At 41.7% G+C, this 20325-nt stretch overlaps 1 protein-coding gene across 23 annotated transcripts in view, besides 2 other annotated features; it reads right to left on the minus strand.

The window, feature by feature from the left end:
* The window catches only part of PSD3 (pleckstrin and Sec7 domain containing 3), a 557503-nt gene that overhangs the window by 132379 nt on the left and 404799 nt on the right, over positions 1–20325 (minus strand). The gene's annotated exons all lie outside the window — the stretch shown is intronic.
* Positions 5562–6761: an enhancer, noted in NCBI's record as "BRD4-independent group 4 enhancer chr8:18522753-18523952 (GRCh37/hg19 assembly coordinates)". NCBI's record gives its function as "activates an origin of replication core promoter dependent on BRD2, P300/CBP, MED14 and CDK7 cofactors, and independent of BRD4, by STARR-seq in HCT116 cells {active_cell/tissue: HCT116}" and the evidence as "EXISTENCE:reporter gene assay evidence [ECO:0000049][PMID:35650434]".
* Positions 19349–19911: an enhancer, noted in NCBI's record as "OCT4-NANOG hESC enhancer chr8:18536540-18537102 (GRCh37/hg19 assembly coordinates)". NCBI's record gives its function as "activates a minimal SCP1, AML or CMV promoter by ChIP-STARR-seq in naive H9 embryonic stem cells {active_cell/tissue: H9 hESC(naive)}" and the evidence as "EXISTENCE:reporter gene assay evidence [ECO:0000049][PMID:30033119]".

A 20325-nucleotide genomic window follows, 5' to 3' on the forward strand; every position in this document is an offset into this window, starting at 1 on the left:
ATGAGCTTTAAAGAGCCACCGTTGCTAGGACACATGCTTGAAGCGCCTTTGTTGGTGAGGATGATGGGCTGGCTGCACTGATCCTATACTCTTAGTCCATTTAGGACCAAAGGCATTTGTCATGAGAATGGCTAAAACTGGAGGCATAGTCTATGGCTCAGAAAAACAACTTATCTCCAGCTATGTGAGGGGTTATCTGGCCTAGCTGCAAGAGGGCAGGGTTTGGGGAGAAACATTGCTATGGACTGGTAGTTAGAGCTAAGTGGAGAAAGTTACCACATGGACCTTAATGGGACAGGGCAGCCCATATGAATACATACAGTGAAGCGATAACTCACTGTGGAAGGCTGAAGAATGGCACCCCTAATGTCCAGGTCCCAATCTCTAGAACTTGTGAATGTTACCTTATATGGCAAAAACTTTAAAGATGTGATTAAGTTAAAGAACTTGAGATGGGGAACGTACGTGGGTGGGCTCTAAATGCAATCACAAGTGTCTTTATAGAAGGCAGACGGAGATTTAAGAAAGAAAAGAAGGCAACATGAAGAGGAATATGGAAATTAGAGTAATACACACGTAAGTCAAAGAATGCTGGCGACCACCAGAGGTTAGAAGAGGCGAGGAAGAGACTTTTCCCCTGAACCCTCCAGAGGGTAAAAAGCCCTGTTGACCTCTTGATTTCAGACCTCTGGCCTCTGCAATTGTGAGAATGCATTTCTGTTTTTAAGACACCAAGTTTGTGGTAATTTGTTTCAGCAGCCCGAGGAAACTAATACTCTAGCGTACTAGAGAATAGCAGATACCTAGCAAAGAATGATGATATACCCACAGGTGGATTTCAGGAAATAGTTCCAGGGTCAGTCCCTAGGACAAACAGTCTTTCCCCACAGTGGTCTTATCTAAAGATGTGACAGTGCACAAGAAAATCAACCGAGGAATTTTTAAAAACACTGATTATTGTGCCCTGTCCTAGATCTACCACATCAGCTCCTTGGACGAGGAAACTGCATGAATATTTCTAAATGCTCCACATGTAACTCTGATTGGAAGCCTTGGTTAAAAAATCACTGCTTTGCAAGCTTACCAATCTTTTATCTAACTGTAATTTCTGTAACTTAACCCCAGAGCCAGATCACAATCACATACCTCTCTCGACACTAGCCAGGACAGAATGACTCTTTGAATTTGAAGATCATCATTTTTAAGAATAACAAAGCAAAGAAAATTGCTTAAATTACAGAGGTAAACATATTCTGGTCTAAATTTAATTTTAAGTCGTTGTTCCTCACTTTTGGTTGCTTCTCAGAGACGATAAAATGCAATTTTATTCAAGGCTTTAGTGCTGTCATTGCCAGCCCACACAGGGCTCTCTGAAGCTTTTCTACATTACCATGCATTGTGTAACCGTGAGTCTCTCTTTCTCTCTCCAACATATTTTGCACAGTTGATGGAATTCGTGTATTTTAGTTCAATCATCTCTAAACTCCAATGAATTTTTTTCTCTGTGGTTCCTGAATCATTATGAAAAGTATGGAGGATATCACAGCTTCCACTTTCAGTGAAACTGACAGTGACCGCAGTGGAATTTGTACTCAGAAAGAATTATGACACCATCCGTACCACAATTCTCTCTTTCAAATGCTATGCTGGCTCTCATGCAGATACTTAGATCAAGCAGACTGTTAAGTATAGAATTAAATATGCACCACTCTGGCAGTGTTATCAGAGAAAGAGCATGTTTGAAAAAGACACTGGTTAAAAATTAATGATAAAACCAGTTATTAGATAAATATCAAAATGGTTAGAAAAACTCAAAATACTTTGCAATGGTCTTCAACTTCTACTATCGTCTCTATGCCTTAAAATAATATTGAAAAACTGCACTATCTCTCACTATAGGAAGCTTCTCCAAAACTAGGATTTGGAATTGACTCTTTTTTTGCCCCCTCCGCACCAGTGGAGGTCCTTACACCTTGCGATGTACCAAATAAGGTTATAGGTGAGGGTTATGACTTTTTTTTCTTAAGTGGCAAAGGGCAATTGTTAAGCAGAGATGCAAAAGGAGAAATAGCCTGAAGGCTTGACCACAAGAGAATTCACAGGTAGATCCATTTTAGGGAGAAGTACATACAGAAGATGAGTTTCTGGAAATGGATTCCCTTTAAGCTATTTGTGTTCTCCCGTACCCACTGGACAGTTTTCACATGCCCAAGTTTAAAGAGCGCCACATTAGAGAATGTATATTCATAAGCAACCTGGTCAACATTCATCTTTTCAGCTCTTATTTAGGGTAATAGAACATGCTTGAATTTTTTTTTTTTCACTTCTATGGTAAGATGTAGTTTTGAAATCGAGTCAACATGTAAACAGAGCTGAAATCTGTATCTCGGGCAATTAGTCTTATGTTGTGATGTACTTCCAAACCCAGTCACAGTCCCAAAACCACCTAACCATGAATAGATGTCCCAGCACAAATTCGTATTAATGAACACTAGAAAATTACTCTTCAAGCCCTTATCTTATTGAAAGAGAATCTGAAGTATAATTAATATGTATAATTCATCATGTAATCATTTTTAAGCACATTCCAGAGGCTAGGGAGGCATTATGCTAGGTACAGATGAATCTGTTCTGTCTTCAGAGGCCTCTTATATAAGGAATACAAAATGTGCTGCTAACCCTGACTGAACTTTACCTAGTGAAGAATTAGTCAGCTAATGGAGTCAACTAATTTTTTTCCTACTTACAATGTGTGAGACACTTTCACACACAGTATCTAATATGTGACATTATGTTATACATATTTTCTTGAGAGAAAGATTTGATAAAACAGAGAACAGATCCAATCTTATGAGCAAAGAATTTGAAACGGGTGGGTGGGGCACCTATCACTGACTTGTACATTTAAGACAAATCAATTTACCTGGCCCTCATTTTCTTTACATGCAATAGGAGAGGGCTGCATAAAGTTAGTGTTCTTTGCCCCCTTCCAGATCTACTATTTTACAATTCAGCTTGAGAAAGACCTTAGCTATCACCCAGCCAAACTCCCAAACTAGTCCTTTCTTTAGTCTCTGCTCCCTTTTCCTGTGTTCCTCACTAAATATTTTTTGCCATGGTTTTTGATCAATAGCATGACTACCTGCTCTCAAATCCTAGGCACAGCTTTTACAGATTAATAAATGCACATTTTAAAATTGCAAATGAACGAACAAGAATAGGAGAGGGAGTGGGAGCTACAGCAAGAAAGCCAGAGAAATATTATGAGGTGGGGGAAGGGGAGCAATGGGACTCTGACTGCTTCTTGTCAAATGCACCTTTCTGAGCTACAACAGTTTGAACCACCATTTCTTCATTATTACTGAAGAAAAATAAGGTAGCCAAAGACAATACTAACTAAACACACCTGCCAAAGAATATGGCCAGCATCTCTGGGGATGCACAAAATCAAACCTGAAAGTGAAGGCCGGGCGCAGTGGCTCACAAATGTAATCCCAGCACTTTGGGAGCCGCAGAGGGAGGATCACTTGAGCCCAGGAGTTCGAAACCAGCCTAGCCAACGTGGCGAAACCCAGCCTTTACTAAAAACACAAAAATTAGCCAGGTGTGGTGACACGTGCCTGTAGTCCCAGCTACTTAGAGGCTGATGCAGGAGGATTGCTTCAACCAGGGAGGTGGAGGTTTCAGTGAGCCAAGATCATGCCACTGCACTCCAGCCTGGGCGACAGAATGAGACTTTGTCTCAAAAAACCAAAAAGCAAAAAAAAAAAAACCGAATAAAAATGTAATTGCTAATTATCTTTTGTACTAACATAATACTTCAAAGTTTTACTAATGTGTGTATGCATTCATTTATTTATTTTGGGGGTGGACTTGATCAATAAGATGTATTCAAACACAGCACATTTCTCCTAAACTACTTTTGCTTCACCTTGAGATTACCTTCTATTGAACTGGCTGTTGTGTCTCAGAGAAAGTGTCTTAACTATGCTAGTATGAATAACACTATTCTAAATGTAAACAAAACATTAAGATTGCTGCTAAGTTCTTTGTAGAGTAAAGGTTTTAAGTATAGGGATACCTCACTGTATTGTGCTTTGCCTCACTGAGCTTCACGTATACGATAATGCTTTACAACTTGAAGGTTTGTGGCTACCCTGTTTTGAGCAAATCTGTCAGTGACATTTTTTTCCAGCAGCACAGTTTCACTTTGTATCTCTCTGTCACATTTTGACAATTCTCACAATTCAAACATTTGATTATTATATTTGCTATGGTAATCAGTGATCTTTGATGTTACTACTGTAATTGTTTTGGGGAGCCATTAACCATCTCCACATAAGATGGTAAACTTAATAAATGTTATGTGTTCTGAGCACTGCACTGACCAGCTGTTCCCTAAGATACAACAATACTGAAATTAGACCAATTAGTAATCCTGCAATGGTCTCTAACTGTTCAAGTAAAAGGAAGAGTTGCATGTCTCTCACTTTAAATCAAAAGCTAGAAATGATTAAGCTTAGTGAGGCTAAGGCTACGCTGAAGGTGAGGTTTCTTGCACCAGTTAACCAAGTTGTAAATGAAAAGAAAAAGTTCTTGAAGAAAATTAAAAGTGTTACTCCAGGGAACACACAAAATATAAGAGAGTGAAACAGCTTTATTGCTGATATGGAGAAAGTTTAAATGGTCTGGATAGAAGATCAAACTAGCCACAACATTCCCTTAAGGCCAAAGCCTAATTCAGAGCAAGGACCTAACTGTCTTCCACCCTGCAAAAGCTGAGACAAGTGAGAAAGCTGCAGAAGAAAAGTTTGAAGGTAACAGATGTCGGTTCGTGAGGTTTAAGGAAAGAAGCAGACCCTGTAATATAAAAGTCCAAGGTAAAGCTGCAACCGGTGATGGAGAAGCTGCAGCAAGTTATCCAGAAGATCCAGCTAAGATCACTGATGAAGGTGGCTATACTAAACAACAGATTTTCAGTATATACAAAACAGCCTTTTATTGGAAGATAATGCCATCTAGGACTTTGATAGCTAGGGAGAAGTCAATGCCTGGCTTCAAAGCTTCAAAAGTCAGGCTGACTCTCTTCTTAGGGGCAATGGGGCAATGAAGCTGGTGACCTTAAGCTGAAGCCAATGCTCAAGTATCATTCTGAAAATCCTGAGGCCCTTACTCTGCCTTTGCTCTTTAAGTGTAACAACAAAGCCAGGATGGCAGCATATCTGTTGACAGGATGGTTTGCTAAATATTTTTAGTCCATTGTCGAGACCTATTGCTCAGAAAAAAGGATTCCTTTCAAAATGTTACTGGTCATTAACAGAGCACCTCGTCACCCAAGAACTCTGATGGAGATGTACAAGGAGATGACTGTTGTTTTCATGCCTGCTAACACAACATCCATTCCGTAGACCATGGATCAAGAAGTGATTTCTACTGCCAAGTCTTATTATTTAAATACATTTCACAAGGCTGTAACTGCCATAGATAGCGATTCCTCTGATGGATATGGGCAAAGTAAACTGAAAACCTTCTAGAAAGGATTCACCATTTTGGATGTCTTCAAGAACATCTGTGATTCATGGGAGGTCAAAATATCAACATCAACAGGAGTTTGGAAGAAGTTGATTCCAACCCTCATGGAATGACTTTGGGGGGTTTGAGACTTCAGCAGAGGAAGTCACTGCAGATGTGGTGGAAACAGTAACACAGCTAGAATTAGACGTGGAGCCTAAAGATATGACTGCATTGCTGCAATCTCATGGTAAAACATGAACAGATGAGGATTTGTATGGATGAGCAAAGAAAGTAGTTTCCTGAGATGGAAACTACCCCCGGTGAAGATGCTATGAACACTGTTAAAATGACAAAAAAGGATTTAGAATATGAAATAAACATAGTTCATAAAGCAGTAGCAGGGTTTGAGGGGAATGACTGCATTTCTGAATGAAGTTCTACTGTGGGTAAAATGCTAACAAACAGCATCAAATGCTACACAGAAATCTTTCATGAAAGAGTCTACAGCTGGGTGTGGGTGGCGTGCATGCCAATGGTCTCAGCTATTTGAGAGGCTGAGGTGAGAAGACTGTTTGAGCCTGGGAGATCAAGGCTGCAGTGAGCTGTGATCGTGCCACTGCACTTCAGCCTGGGTGAGACAGCGAGACCCAGTCTTAAAAAACAAACAAACAAAACTAATGATGCAGCAAGCTTAATTACTGCCTTTTCAGAAATTGCCACAGTCATATCAACCTTCAGCAGCCACCACCCTGATTAGTCAGCAGCCATCAACATCAAGGTGAGACCCTCCATAAGCAAAACGATGACAACTTGCTGAAGGCTCCAATGACACACATAATAAACTACAGTATAGTGTAAACATACCTTTTTTTTTGAGACAGTCTTGTGTGTCACCCAGGCTGGACTGCAGTGTGGCACGATCTCCACTTACTGCAACTTCTGCCTCCTGGGTTCAAGTGGTTCTCTTGCCTTAGCCTCCTGAGTAGCTGGAATTATAGGGGCACGCCACTGTGTCCTGTTTATTTTTGTATTTTTAGTAGAGACAGGGTTTCGCCATGTTGGCCAGGCTGGTCTTGAACTCCTGACCTCAGGTGATCCGCCCGCTTTGGCATCCCAAAGTTCTGTGATTAAAGGCGTGAGCCACCTCACCCAGCTGTGTAAACATAACTTCTAAATGCATACGGACACCAAAAAATTCCTGTGGCTTGCTTTATCGCGGTATTTGTTTTATTGCTGTGGTCTAGAACTGAACCTGTAGTATCTCCAAGGTCTGCCTGTTTAAAGAATTTTTCCCCTAGTTACAACTGTAAACATCTAATGAACTGATTAGAACATTAAGTCCAAATGCTGGTTCATCATCAAAAAACAAACTAAGAGTTACAACTCAAATATCTCGTAACAGATAAGTCAGGAAGGCCAGGGAGAGACTCCGGGGGTTTGGAGAAAGCTCCATGTACAAGGTAAGCTAGCACTCAGCTGTAGCCTGATTTCAACCAAGTGGGAATGTAGCTTCACTATTGCTTTTTTTTGGGGGGTGGGGGGAAGTAGCTGGAAGCACACATTATTCAAGGCTGGCAAATGTTCAAGTATGTCAACAGAGAGAGCAATGTAAACTACTGTGGGTGAGACAAGCACATCCACTATCAAAGAGGACACCAATTTTGAAACAGATTGGAATGCTATTGTGTCCAGAATTGGTGGGTTCTTGGTCTCACTGACTTCCCTCGCGGTCAGTGTTACAGTTCTTAAAGGAGACGTGTCCGCAGTTTGTTCATTCCTCCCGGTGGGTTCATGGTCTTGCTGGATGTGTTGGGAGTTTTTTCCTTCTTGTGGGTTCGTGGTCTCGCTGGCTTCAGGAGTGAAGCTGCAGACCTTTGTGTTGAGTGTTACAGCTCATAAAGGCAGTGTGGAAGGGGACCCCAGCGAGTTGCCACTGGTGGCTCAGGCAGCCTGCTTTTATTCTCTTATCTGGCCCCACCCACATCCTGCTGATTGGTCCATTTTACAGAGAGCCGATTACTCTGTTTTACAGAGAACTGATTGGTCCATTTTGACAAGGTGCTGACTGGTGCATTTACAATCCCTGAGCTAGACACAAAACTTCTCCACCTACCCACTAGATTAGCTAGATACAGAGTGCTGATTGGTGTATTTACAAACCCTGAGCTAGACACAAAGTGCTGATTGGTGCATTTACAAACCTTGAGCTAGATACAGAGTGCCGATTGGTGTATTCCCAAGCCCTTAGCTAGACATGAAGATTCTCCAAGTCCCCACCAGATTAGCTAGATACAGAGTGCCCACTGGTGCCTCCACAAACCCTGAGGTAGACACAGGGTGCTGATTGGCGTGTTTACAATCCCTTACCTAGACATAAAGATTCTTCAAGTCCCCAAATAGATTTAGGAGCCCAGCTGGCTTCACCCAGTGGATCCTGAACCAGGCGGCAGGCAGAGCTGCCCGCCAGTCCCGCCGTGTGCCTGCACTCCTCAGCCCTTAGGCAGCTGATGGGACCAGGCGCTGCGGAGCAGGGGGCGGTACTCGTCAGGGAGGCTCAGGCGGGGCAAGGAGCCCATGGCGGGGTGGGGGAGGCTCAGGCATGGCGGGCTGCAGAGCCTCCGAGCCCTGCCCCGCAGGGAGGCAGCTGAGGCCTGGGGAGAATCTGAGTGTAGCGCCGGCAGGCCGGCACTGCTGGGGGACCCGGTGCACCCTCCACAGCTGCTGGCCCAGTTACTAAGCCCCTCACTGCCCGAGGCCAGCGGCACCGGCCGGCCGCTCCAAGTGTGGGGCCCGCGGAAGCCACACCCACCAAGAAATCGCGCTGGCCCGCAAGCTCCGCGCGCAACCCGGGTTCCCGCCCAGGCCTCTCCCTGCACACCTCCCAGCAAGCTGAGGGAGCCGGCTCCGGCCTCGGTCAGCCCAGAAACGGGCTCCCACAGTGCAGCGGCAGGCTGAAGGGTTCCTCAAGCGCGGCCAGAGTGGGCAGAGAGGCCGAGGGGTTGCGGAGAGTGAGCAAGGGCTGCCAGGACTGCCAGCACGCTGTCACCTCTCACTGTGATTAGAAATTGTAAGGAGGAAACAGTAAGAATCACTGAACAAACACGGCAAAATTTCCAATTTTTGATTTATAGACAAACTTCTGAATATTTCATGTTTCGCCTGGTATTTCTGACGCTGCGATGATGTTCTAGCCATTTCAAATAACTGATCTTCCTCTGATAATAACTATCAATGAGGCCCCACTATGTGATACTGCTAAGAGCCTGACTTTCACTTGATCTCACTGAACTCTCACAGCAGCCATATATGAGAGAGGTAGTATTATTCCCACTCTAGAAATGCCACAGCTGATGCCTATGAAGGTTAAGTAGGCTGCCAAGGTCATACAGCAGAGCTGGGTATCTCAGACAGGTCTTTCCTAAGCCATAGTCTCTGCTTTTAACTGCCCTAATCACAACACAATATTGTCACCATGTAAGTATATTATTATGTGTACTGTTCACATACACACCTGTGTACATATATACATACTTTAAAGTCAGTATTATGTGTATTGTTCACATACACACCTGTGTACATATTATTTTAAATATAGATAATCAGTAATAAATTTTGCAACTCTGATAAATGTCTTGCCTAGAAATCAGAGTTAATAAAGTTAAAAGTAAACAATGCTATCCACAGTATTACATTTCTTAGCTTTTCCTTTTGTTATATCAGCTTAGGCCTTCTTATTAGTTTATTTAAAAAATAATGTTTTCACAGGGAAAGATATCCATCATCCTAAGTTCACGGCTAAGAAAACTTATGATCACAGTGCACATGAATTGATGGTTTATAGTTCAAATTCTCCTTTAACACATCACTGACTATTTATAACTTGTCTACTCCATCTCCCTACATAGCGTACCTTGCTTAATGCATCCTCATTGTATTAGTCTATTGTACAATGACCACAACAAATATTTGATTATAACACATGCTGATATATGAAGGGAAATTGTTTTTTGTAACTACTAGACACTAATTAGAATGTACTTTTTCTGATACAGTAGTCTCCCGATCCTTGGGGGAATATGTTCCAAGGCTCCCAGTGGAACATGAAACCACGAATGGGACCAAACCCTATATATTGTATGTTTTTTTCCTAGACTTACATGCTTATAAGGTTGAATTTGTAAATTAGGGACAGAAAGAAATTAACAATAACTAATAATAAAATAGAACAATGATAACATATGCCAGCTTCACTACTCTTGCACTTTGCAGCTATTATTAAGTAAAATAAGGGTGACTTGAAGGCAAGAACTGTGATGCTGTGACAGCCAATTTGATAACCAACTTAGCTAGTAAGTGACTGAGGGCAGGGAGCATCCACAGTGGGGAGGCACTGGACAAAGGAAGGATTCGCGTCCACATGGGATGGCACACGACAGTGAGATTGCATCGCACTACGCCGGATGGCATGAGATTTAAAACTTATGAAATGTTTGTCTCTAAAATTTTCCTTTTAATGTTTTTGGACGATGTTTGATGGCAGTTAAGTGAAACCATGAGTAACTACCTGAAACTGCAGATAAGGGGCGAATCCCGTAATGGTATAGCATATGGTATAAGTATTAATACAGTAAAGTATTTTATAACAACTAGAAGACTAATTCATGTTTGTAACACTTATAATAGTAAAAATAAATCCCTTAAAACCATTCATTTATTCATTCATATATTCAGTTGAACAGTTATTTATTTAGGCATCGTGAATCCAGTGGTGAACAACAGACACAGAACTTAGATTTGAGTGGGGTGGAAGCAGGTAATAAATAAGAAAAATAACAGATGACGATAATTCTGTCACTTTCTGGTAGGCTACCAGATAATTATTATAAGGTGATTCAAATAAGGTCACTGGAAAGAGTAGCCGTAGCCTGGATGGTCAGAGAAGGCCTCTGGGCAAGGAAACGTAAGACGTGAGTGACCGGGAGCAGCCACGCACAGGTGTGGGGAGCGAGGTAAGCAGCTCCTGGGCACCACTGAACCGGGTGGGTCTGAGAAACCCAGCGGGGCTGGTGCGGCTGGAGCAAATGGGCCCAGCTGTGGTGTGAGCAGGTCCCGAAGGGCTTTTAAACCAGAAAAGTTAGAGGTTTATTCTGTGCTGGCCGGGTGACCACTAGAGGATTTTAAGCGGGAGGGTGACCTGCTGTAATTCATGTTTTTAAAGGGTGGCTCCGCTTCTGTGTGGAGAAAGGATTATAAGAGAAAAAGGGAAACAGCAGCGAGGCAGGTGGAATCTGGGTGAGAGGTGAGGTAAGTTGACTGGGATGAAGGCAGGCAGTGGCGGATTAGGGACGGATCAGGCTGTTTTTCTAAATTATATGAGAAAGGTGGACCATTTTCACATACCTCAAGCACAAATAAAAAACTGGGTACAACGAACAGTTTCAACAGTAGCACCAGAAATGTATCATTATGATATTTAAAGTCATTTAAGCTAAGAAGGAGGTAAATACATTAAGAGATAAAGGAAAGAAGTAAGGTGCAAAACATTGTTACGGTATGTTTCCATTTTGTGGGGGAAAAATGTGTGCGAGTATCTGGGCACGAATAGAACATTTCTGAGGGGATACACACAACCCCACCGACAATGACTGACTCCGGACACAGCAACTCGGGGAGCAGGGTGGGGGGATTTTCAATGTATAATCTTCTGGACAATTTGAATGTTGACCACACAGTGTACACTTTGCTTCTTCGATGAAAAATAGAGATGACATTAGATTTTATGCTCCTTGCAGATGAGATCAAGTCTTCCATCTCCCTTTAGTCTCTATAATGCTTCGTAAGTTGTCTTAACCACAGCGAGGGTTTCATTTGCTGAGAAGGCAAGGGCTTCAGTGAGGACGATGCTGTATAACACAATTATGATGGGAGGCAGCAAAGGCAGGAAAAAAGAACAATAAACTAGAAAGCTGCAGACCTAGATTCACACCTGCTTCTACGTCCTAGGAAGTAAGTAGGATGACTCCACTTCGCCGATCTAGGAGCTGGAGGTTAGGCAGATTGTTGCTTGGTGTAGGTTGAAAGTTACCAGATCAAATGCAAGATGCTCACTTAAATTTGAACTTCAGATAAATAATAACATTTCTAGCATAAGCATGCCCTCCAATTTTACATGAGACACACTAAAAATTGTCTAAAATTAAAATTTACCTGGGTGTTCTGTATTTTTATTTGTGAAATCTGGCAACCCTATGCCAGCCACAACTCTCTTTCCAAGAGGTAATGTAGTTATGATCTGAGTGAATCACTTTCTTTCTTATACAATGAATTAAAGGTTAACTTCCAAGGTATTCCACAGCAGATTTAACTATTCTTCTTTGGAAGCACCATGATTCCAGAAGCCATTGTGTTCACAGTCATCTCCTGATTTTGTTTTTTTGTTTTTTGTTTTTTTTTTTGAGATGGAGTCTCGCTTTGTCGCCCAGGCTGGAGGGCAGTGCGCGATCTCCGCTCACTGCAAGCTCCGCCTCCTGGGTTCACGCCATTCTCCTGCCTCAGCCTCCCGAATAGCTGGGACTATAGGTGCCCGCCATGACGTCCGGCTAATTTTTTGTATTTTTAGTAGAGATGGGGTTTCACCGTGTTAGCCAGAATGGTCTCGATCTCCTGACCTTGTTATCCGCCCGCCTTGGCCTCCCAAAGTGCTGGAATTACAGGCGTGAGCCACTGCGCCGGGCCTGATTTTGTTTTTAACTTTTATACCCTGATCCTCTGAAACTGTAATTTATCAATTTATCAAAAACTTGTCTAGTTTAGACAGCTAAACCATATCAGTGAAAAACATAACCATAACCAGTATTTTCAATAAAGATTCTGGAATGTACTTGATGAAATTTGTTAATGTCCATCTTGTTGGTAAGCCTTAAGTGTTGGAAAGTAGCAAGCATGTACCATAATAAAAAATGCAATTTGAGAACATAGGAAAACATAAATTTAAAGTGACCTTGTAAATATATGCAATATTTTTTAAGTACCCAAGAAAAACGGTCAATTATATTTAATAACTATGGACATGATGAAGTTAACGTGCACAGTTTATTAAAAAAAAAAACTTGCTGGGTAACAAGCACAATCCTTTTAAATAAATGGCCTGTAAAAAAAACAATCCCTGGGGGACTTTGACATTTAGAGAGAATGCCAGGCCTGGCATTTGTTCCCTGTCATTTCCATGCATTAGACAAAGCAATGAAGACAAACCAAATGGAAATAGGTTTTATTCAAAACGATCAATACAAACAAATTAAATAATCTCACCCAGTGGATAGCAGGCTTCAAATTTCATAAACAGGAAAATTTGCAAAAGAAATTTTAGGGAGCTAAATAGAATTGCCAGTTTTTCGTTTAGCTAAATGAGAAAATAAATTTTTTAAAGAAACAAAGCACCAACTATTATCGGTATTGTTGCATAAAAATAAGTTGCATGGACAATCTCAGAAGAGACAACTGTTTCTCAAGAAAGGACCAGCCTTTCACTGATATTTTGCTATAGACTAAAACTGTGACAGCAACTAGCAGCAGAACATGGTCTAGTCTGATAACTGCTAGAGTATAAAGTCTTGGAAGAGATGAAACCTTTTGCTTTTCTTAAAAAGTAGTCTCCATTACCTGGCATTTGTTAAACCCAAAGTTAATTAAGATAAACAAAAGCCATTCTAGTCCCTGGAAATTATTCCAGTCTCGTATGTACCTATATATGCTGTCTACATTCCTTCTGATTCATTAAAAAAAATTTCTCAAGGCAATATATGTATATCATTTATATAATCAAAAATTACTAAAAGGTATGTAATACAAATAATCTTTTAACTTCACCTCTGATTCTTGCTGCTCAAAAGTCACCTCTTTCAATCTCTTTTTGGTTTTTCTATTTTCAATATGATCTATTGACTTTCAACTGCAGAACTCTGGAAAGTGAACATTTATTTGGTTCTCTTAACACACACACCCATCCACACACACACACACACCCACACACACCCTGCCCGTCTCTTTCTTTCCACTCCCATATTAAAATCATACCACAGTCACAATTTGCAGTTTCATGAATTTTCAGTCCTCATATTATTGTGACTATATAGACATTATTCATGGGGCAGAACACTAGGCTACGTTTCCATTTTTTGTAAGATTTTTGATTTCCCTGGAGTTAATCATCATCTTATTTTGTTGTTGTTTACTCAGTTTTCTACGAATCTATCTCTATGTCAACTTCACACCCTCCAGCAGGCATTCCTTCGGTGCCATGGTTGGAAGCATGTCTCTTGGCATCGTCTCTGCCCCCACTCCTCTAATCTGGCTGGTTTCTATCTCCGGCACAGCTGTTGTCCCAGGGTTTCCCTTTGCCATTGTCCTGGGGATTCCCTCTCCCCCTCTGCTCTACTGGACACCATGTCTTCTCTTTCACTTCTTCAAGCAACTGAGAAAAAGTACATGAGAAAGTAGAGAGGGAAGAGACGCCCTGCTGTGAAACGTTTATACCTTTCACTGAATCCTGCTATTTTCAACGTGGGGATCTCCCCGTGGGCCTCGACTGAGCCTAATTTCCTAAGTCCAAAACCTCTGGATTAAACTTATCAGAGAGAAAGAACAGAAAATTGTAGGGCGGGCAGGGGGGCATGCTGGCTCATACCTGTAATCCCAACGATTTGGGAGGCCAAGGCAGGAGGATTGCTTGAGCCCAGCAGTTAAAGACCAACCTGGGAAACAAAACAAGACCCTATCTCTACAAAAAAATTAAAAAATGAGCTGCGCATGGTGGTGTGTGCCTGTGGCTCCTGCTACTCTGGAAGCTGAGGACTTGGGAGGATTCCTTGAGCCCAGGAAGTGGAGGGTGCAGTGAGCAGTGATCGTGCCACTGCAGTCCAGACTGGATGAAAGAGTGAAACTTGTCTTAAAAAAAAAAAGAAAATGGTGGGAGGAAGGGTATGCGGCTATCAAAGCAGGGGAGGGCATTCAGAAGGTCGACTTACTAATTTTAGAGGCTTTAAAGGGCTGTCCTCGTTCGACTCACTGCCCTCAGAGGTAGCCAGTGGCCCCCAGTTCCTGGGCCTTCCCTGCGTTCTGTGGGGACAGATTGATCTATTTCTTTCTTTAGTATTTGGCATCCAGTTTTTTTCTGTGGAACTTAAATAGTGAACACGTCTATCTGGTTTCCATGTTTCAAAGTTTGCTGATGTTTTGAAAAATCCTCTCTCATTCTTTGGGTCCTTGAAGGTCTACGAATCCTACTGTCATTTTAGTGGAGTTTAGGTGGGTGTAAAGATAAAAGCACACTGTTACCTTAAATTCTAATTTAAGAGTTAAGTTTTTTTGCTATATGTAAATACCACTTAATCACAGTCTAAGAGATCACAGCAGGGGGTGGATGGGGCACAGAAAATCTCCTCAAAACACTGTCCAACCATAGTAAGAGTATTCCAAATGGCCTTTTTATTTTACCTGTTTTTAAGAAGATGTATTAAGAAAGAAGTGTGGCCAGATGTGGTGTCTCATGTCTGTGATCCCAGCACTTTGGGAGGCTGAGGTGGGAGAAGCATCTGAGGTGGGGTGTTCAAGACCAGACTGGGCAACATTGTAAGTCCTCTGTCTCTACAAAAAAGTTAAAATATTAGCCTGGAGTGGTGACATGTGCCTAGTTACTCAGGAAGTGGAGGCATGAGGATTATATGAGGCCAGGATTTCAGGGCTACAGTGAGGTATGTTCTTACTACTGCACTCCAGCTTGGGTGACAAAGTGAGACCCTGTCTCCAATTTAAAAAAAAAAGCAACAATAAAGAAAAGTGTCATCAATCTATATAAATCTGCTGGACCTTTATCTGTCCCTCGGAGTGACAGTCAAGAGCTGCTTCTCTCAAAGTACTTTCTTGTATCTGTACGTCTAGTTAGGTAGGACCTCAACCCTTTAGATTTACTTATGCTGGGAGACCTTAGAAGAAAACTGTAATGAAAAAGCTCAATAAGGATTCGTTCCCTTGTCATGAGCCACTGGGGCACCAGGATCTAGAGAAGGTCTTACTGCTTCCTGTAAACACCTTGGCCTGCCCCAGTGGATTTCTGAGTAGTAGAGCTGACGCTGACACCACTAAACTGCAGCTGAGTGCAAGAAGGAGATTAGACTGTTTGAGATAGCTTCGTAATCTTATTTATTTACTGGAATCAAACACACACTTGGCTCACCAGATTTGAATGTGGCAGTAACGAGTACACTAGTGTTTCCAGTGCCTTGGGGGGCATTTCATGTTGTAAAACTTAACTGCAGGCTACAAACAATGGCATGTCATAAGGGGAGTCAGGCTAGGACTAGAGCCTCAGCCAGCCCGTTCAGAAAAATTTTGATATTAAGCATTTCAAAGAATCTACCTAGAAAAACAAATTCCACCGATATCAGGTGATCTACGTGTCCAAACAGGTACACTAAATGTACCATCGGAACATGGTACAGTGGATTTTAAAAAAAGAAATAAAATCTGCTTGAATGATAGTTAAGGCAAAGCTTAAAAATCTTAATTAAAATTAATGTTAGAAGAGCAACTTCCATCATAAATTAATATCATAAATTAACAAGCAGGAAGCCATCTTGCACAGCTACTCTTGGTCTCTGCTTCACTATGGATGAGTAAATAAAAAATATTTTCCAAAAATCTCCTATTAGACTCTAAGCTGGACGCAATCCCTAAGCTCTAAGCCAGGCATGATCTAACAACAGGTTGCAGAATAGCTTGTCACCATACATATTCCCACACAGAAGCTCCTTATGGTCAACTTCAGGTTATCATGATGCTACGAAACTCCCTGATCTTCGGCAGTGACTATCTTTAAAATGCAAATATATATATATTTTTTTCTCTTTCGACTCCTATCATTATTGCATAGAGTTTTCTTTTTCCTTTCCCTGGATTCTGAAAAGGATATTACACTAAGCTTGCCAGGAATGACAGCATGGACCAGCATTTTCTCTACAATGTTCAAATACTGCATGGAAGTTCTCAAACACCTGCTTCAGTACACCTTCCCCAAAAGAATGTGTTCAAATACAGTCTACTCATAAATGGAGGGGAGCAAGAATGCAGTACGACCTTGGGAGTTAGAGATGACACAACAGGAGTGGGACGCGGCTTCTCCTTCATGTATTTCTTTCTTCTTCTCTTCACAAAACCCACACCTCTACCACCTCACTGATGCCATACCCGCTAACCCTGAGGACTTAGTCACACAAAGAAAAGAGCCATTCTCTCTGCTCTCATAATGTTTAAATATGTTTCACTTAGTCCAGAAACTGGCCTTAGGAGATTTAACAGGAAACCAAGATTGTGGAGTGTCCTATCCTGAGTAGGAAATGCCGAACAATTGATTTACAGCCTTGTTGCTGCTGGCCAGACCAGCGAGGAGCCCATCACTCGAGATAACTATTACAACCAGATATGCTGACCCGCATACCCTACCCCTCTTTTGTGCTTTGCCCAGCCAAGCCTGTATACTTTAGCCTTGATAACAATATCTGTGCTTTGCCTAATAAAAAAACACCTACCAGCTTCCCCCTGCTGCTTCCTGCAGAGCCAGTCAGAGGACCCTGTGCCTCACCTCCACTGTCTCCCTTGTGCTTGAGCACAAGCCCTGATTTGAAAGCCTCATCTGGGAAATCTGCTCGGCTCCATGTTAATTTCCATTACATGGGAAGCCAAAGAGCCTGCGGTCTGTAACAGAGACATCCAAACCAAACACATCACCTACACTTTACTCAAGTGAAAATGGGTAAACAGTGATCGTAAAGATCTGCTATTAATTAAATTCAAGGGTCAAGAAATATCACTCTATCAGGAGCATAGTGTGCTCAACATTTACTCCTAAGTAATCATTTGAGCAATCTTAAAAAAGACATTTATTTATATGAAAGTACCAGCAGGATTTGAGAAATTCACAGATACAGAGGAACTAGAGGAAGGAGGGAAATTAAGAGGTGGGCAGCAGGGGGTAGCTCTAACAAACCAACCCAGTAACAAAAACCATTGTCACTTTGCTAGGTTTCCTAACAAAAATAAAACCAGGTCAGCGCAGTGGCTCATGCCTTGAATGCCAGCACTTTTGGAGGCCAAGGAGTTCAGATCACACGAGGCCAGGAATTAAAGACCAGCCTGGCCAACATGGCAAAAACCCATCTCTATTAAAAATAAAAAAAAAATAGCTGGGTGTGGTGGTGCATGAGAATTGCCTGAACCCAGGAGGCAGAGGTTACAGTGAGCCCAGGTCAGGCCATTGCACTCTGGCCTAGAAGACAGAGCAATATTGTGTAAGGAGTGAAAGTTTTTATTTTGGGGCAAGTCTGACTCAAGTCATCAACTTAAGGGGAATAAACAGTTATCGATAATATGAAAATGATACAGATAATGATAATCTGTAGAACTACGTCCCTGAAGAAGTCAGGTCTCTTTTTAAGATCTCCTTTGGCTAAGGATCACAGTAAAACATTAGAACATGTTGACTGGGCACGGTGGCTTACGCCTGTAATCTCAGCACTGTGGGAGGCGAGGCGGCCAGATCACGAGGTCAGGAGATCAAAACCATCCTGGCTAACACGGTGAAACCCCATCTCTACTAAAAATACAAAAAATTAGCCAGGCGTGGTGGCGGGTGCCTGTAGTCCCAGCTACTCGGGAGGCTGAAGCAGGAGAGTGGTGTGAACCTGGGAGGCAGAGCTTGCAGTGAGCCGAGATCAGGCCACTGCACTCCAGCCTGGGCAGCAGAGCGAGACTCTGTCTCAAAAAAAAAAAAACAAAGTAAACAAAAAAACCCACAAAACATTAGAACATGTTAATCTGGCAGAATAATTAATACCTGGTGAAAAAGTATAACTTAACATAGGAGAGCCAAGAAAAGAAAAATAGGCTTCTGAAGATAAAATTGTTTTTATCTTTGCACTACCAGATTTACTTTGTTCAACACACCACCTCCCTAATTCCTTCAAATGCCAGGATTAGAACTAGTGCAGGAGGATGTTGATATTTTGACCTAATAGTTTAAGTTGTTTAAAAAAAATTCTCCTTGGGAGCTCATTAGACTGAGGTACCTCTGGCATTTTAAATTTTTACATGAACAAACCAAAGGCCAATGTAAACAGTAAATGGAAACTAGAAAATATACCAATCAGAAACCATCAACTTCTTTTAAAAAATTTATTTTTCTTTCTCTCTGCCTATCATTCTTTCCACCAACTAACTTCCAGCCAATCAAAACTGTTCTCTTCGCCTTGCTTCTGCAAATACTACATAAGAGTTTTCCCAGCTGGGCGTGGTGGCTCACGCCTATAATCCCAACGCTTTGGGAGGCCTAAGTGGGCGGATCGCCTGAGGTTGGGAGTTCAAGACCAGCCCGACAAACATGGAGAAACTCCGTCACTATTAAAAATACAAAATTAGCCGGACGTGGTGGCGCATGCCTGTAATCCCAGCTAACTTGGGAGGCCGAGGCAGGGGAATCGCTCGAATCTGGGAGGCAGAGGTTGCGGTGAGCCGAGATTGTGCCATTGCACTCCAGCCTGGGCAACAAAAGCAAAACTCCGTCTCAAAAAAAAAAAAAAGTTTTCCTTCTTGCACCTCTCATCAGAGTGCCAGCCCCTTGTGGTTTGGTACAACCCTAATTTATGCATCCCTGAATGTTCAAACTCTTGAAAATGTATATATGCTTAAGTTTTTCTTTTAATAAAGTCTATTCAGCTAAAGGATGAATTTATGAGGTTAAAAATGTACTCCTTCAACTTAGGAATAACAAAAATATGTAAAGACATTTGCAAGAAAATTTTCATATTATGACTAAGAATTTTCTCCATTTTAAAATAGGCAGATATCAATGTCCTGTTTGACCAGAATCTCCTTCCCAGGCTCTAGCCTTAGTCTAAAGAGCAAAAGTGGTCTAGGAAGAAATGACAACAATCTGCAAGCCTGCCACCAAAACTTCAGGTCGCAAAGGGCCATTGTAATGATTTCTTCAGGTTTCTTTGTGTATAGCTTTAACTCACAGAGGAAGCAATGATTAGCAGTTATCTAACAATGCAAAGGAAACAGCAAGTGAAGCCTAAGCAGAATGGGGAGAATAGAGGTGATGGTGCCTTTCAACATTATTGCAACACGTTTTTAAAAAGCAATGGATTAGGCACTTAGCAGAGCAGAGGTTTGGAGCAAAGGACTTCCATTTTCCTTTAACACGTTTATGGTTAACATCTCCTAGTACAGGAAGAGGTTTATTCAGAATACATATAAAACTACCTTTGTTAAATCTAGCTCAGTCTTTAAGGTTCCTTCCACAGAGGAAATAACCCCACCAACCTCGGCAAGATTTCTAAAATTAACAGTGTTCAGAACAAAGATATCATTTTGTCAAAACCCTGCATTTTAGGGATGAGTCTTGGGGAGGTGAAGTAACTTGTCTAGGTGAACATTGCTACTTAGAAAGCAAAACCAGGGTAGCCCGCCAGGATGCGGCATCCTGACTGAGAAACCAACAGGCCAATGTTTCACTATGCACCAACCAAAGTACCAGTACTTTACTGGAAGTTCTTGAAATTTCGGTGTCACAGAAATTGATTTCTTTGCTATATCACTGAATAAAAGCTTTAAACGGTTCACTTGAATCAACATTATTAACTAGAGAATTCTTGATCTAATCTCTAGCATCATGCTTATTCCTCAAAAAAGGCCTCAAGGATTCAGCCACGCATGTTATATTAATCCACTCATGTGACATTCACCTACAACAACATA

Source organism: Homo sapiens, chromosome 8 (genome assembly GCF_000001405.40).
Source record: "Homo sapiens chromosome 8, GRCh38.p14 Primary Assembly".
Lineage (NCBI taxonomy): Eukaryota > Metazoa > Chordata > Mammalia > Primates > Hominidae > Homo > Homo sapiens.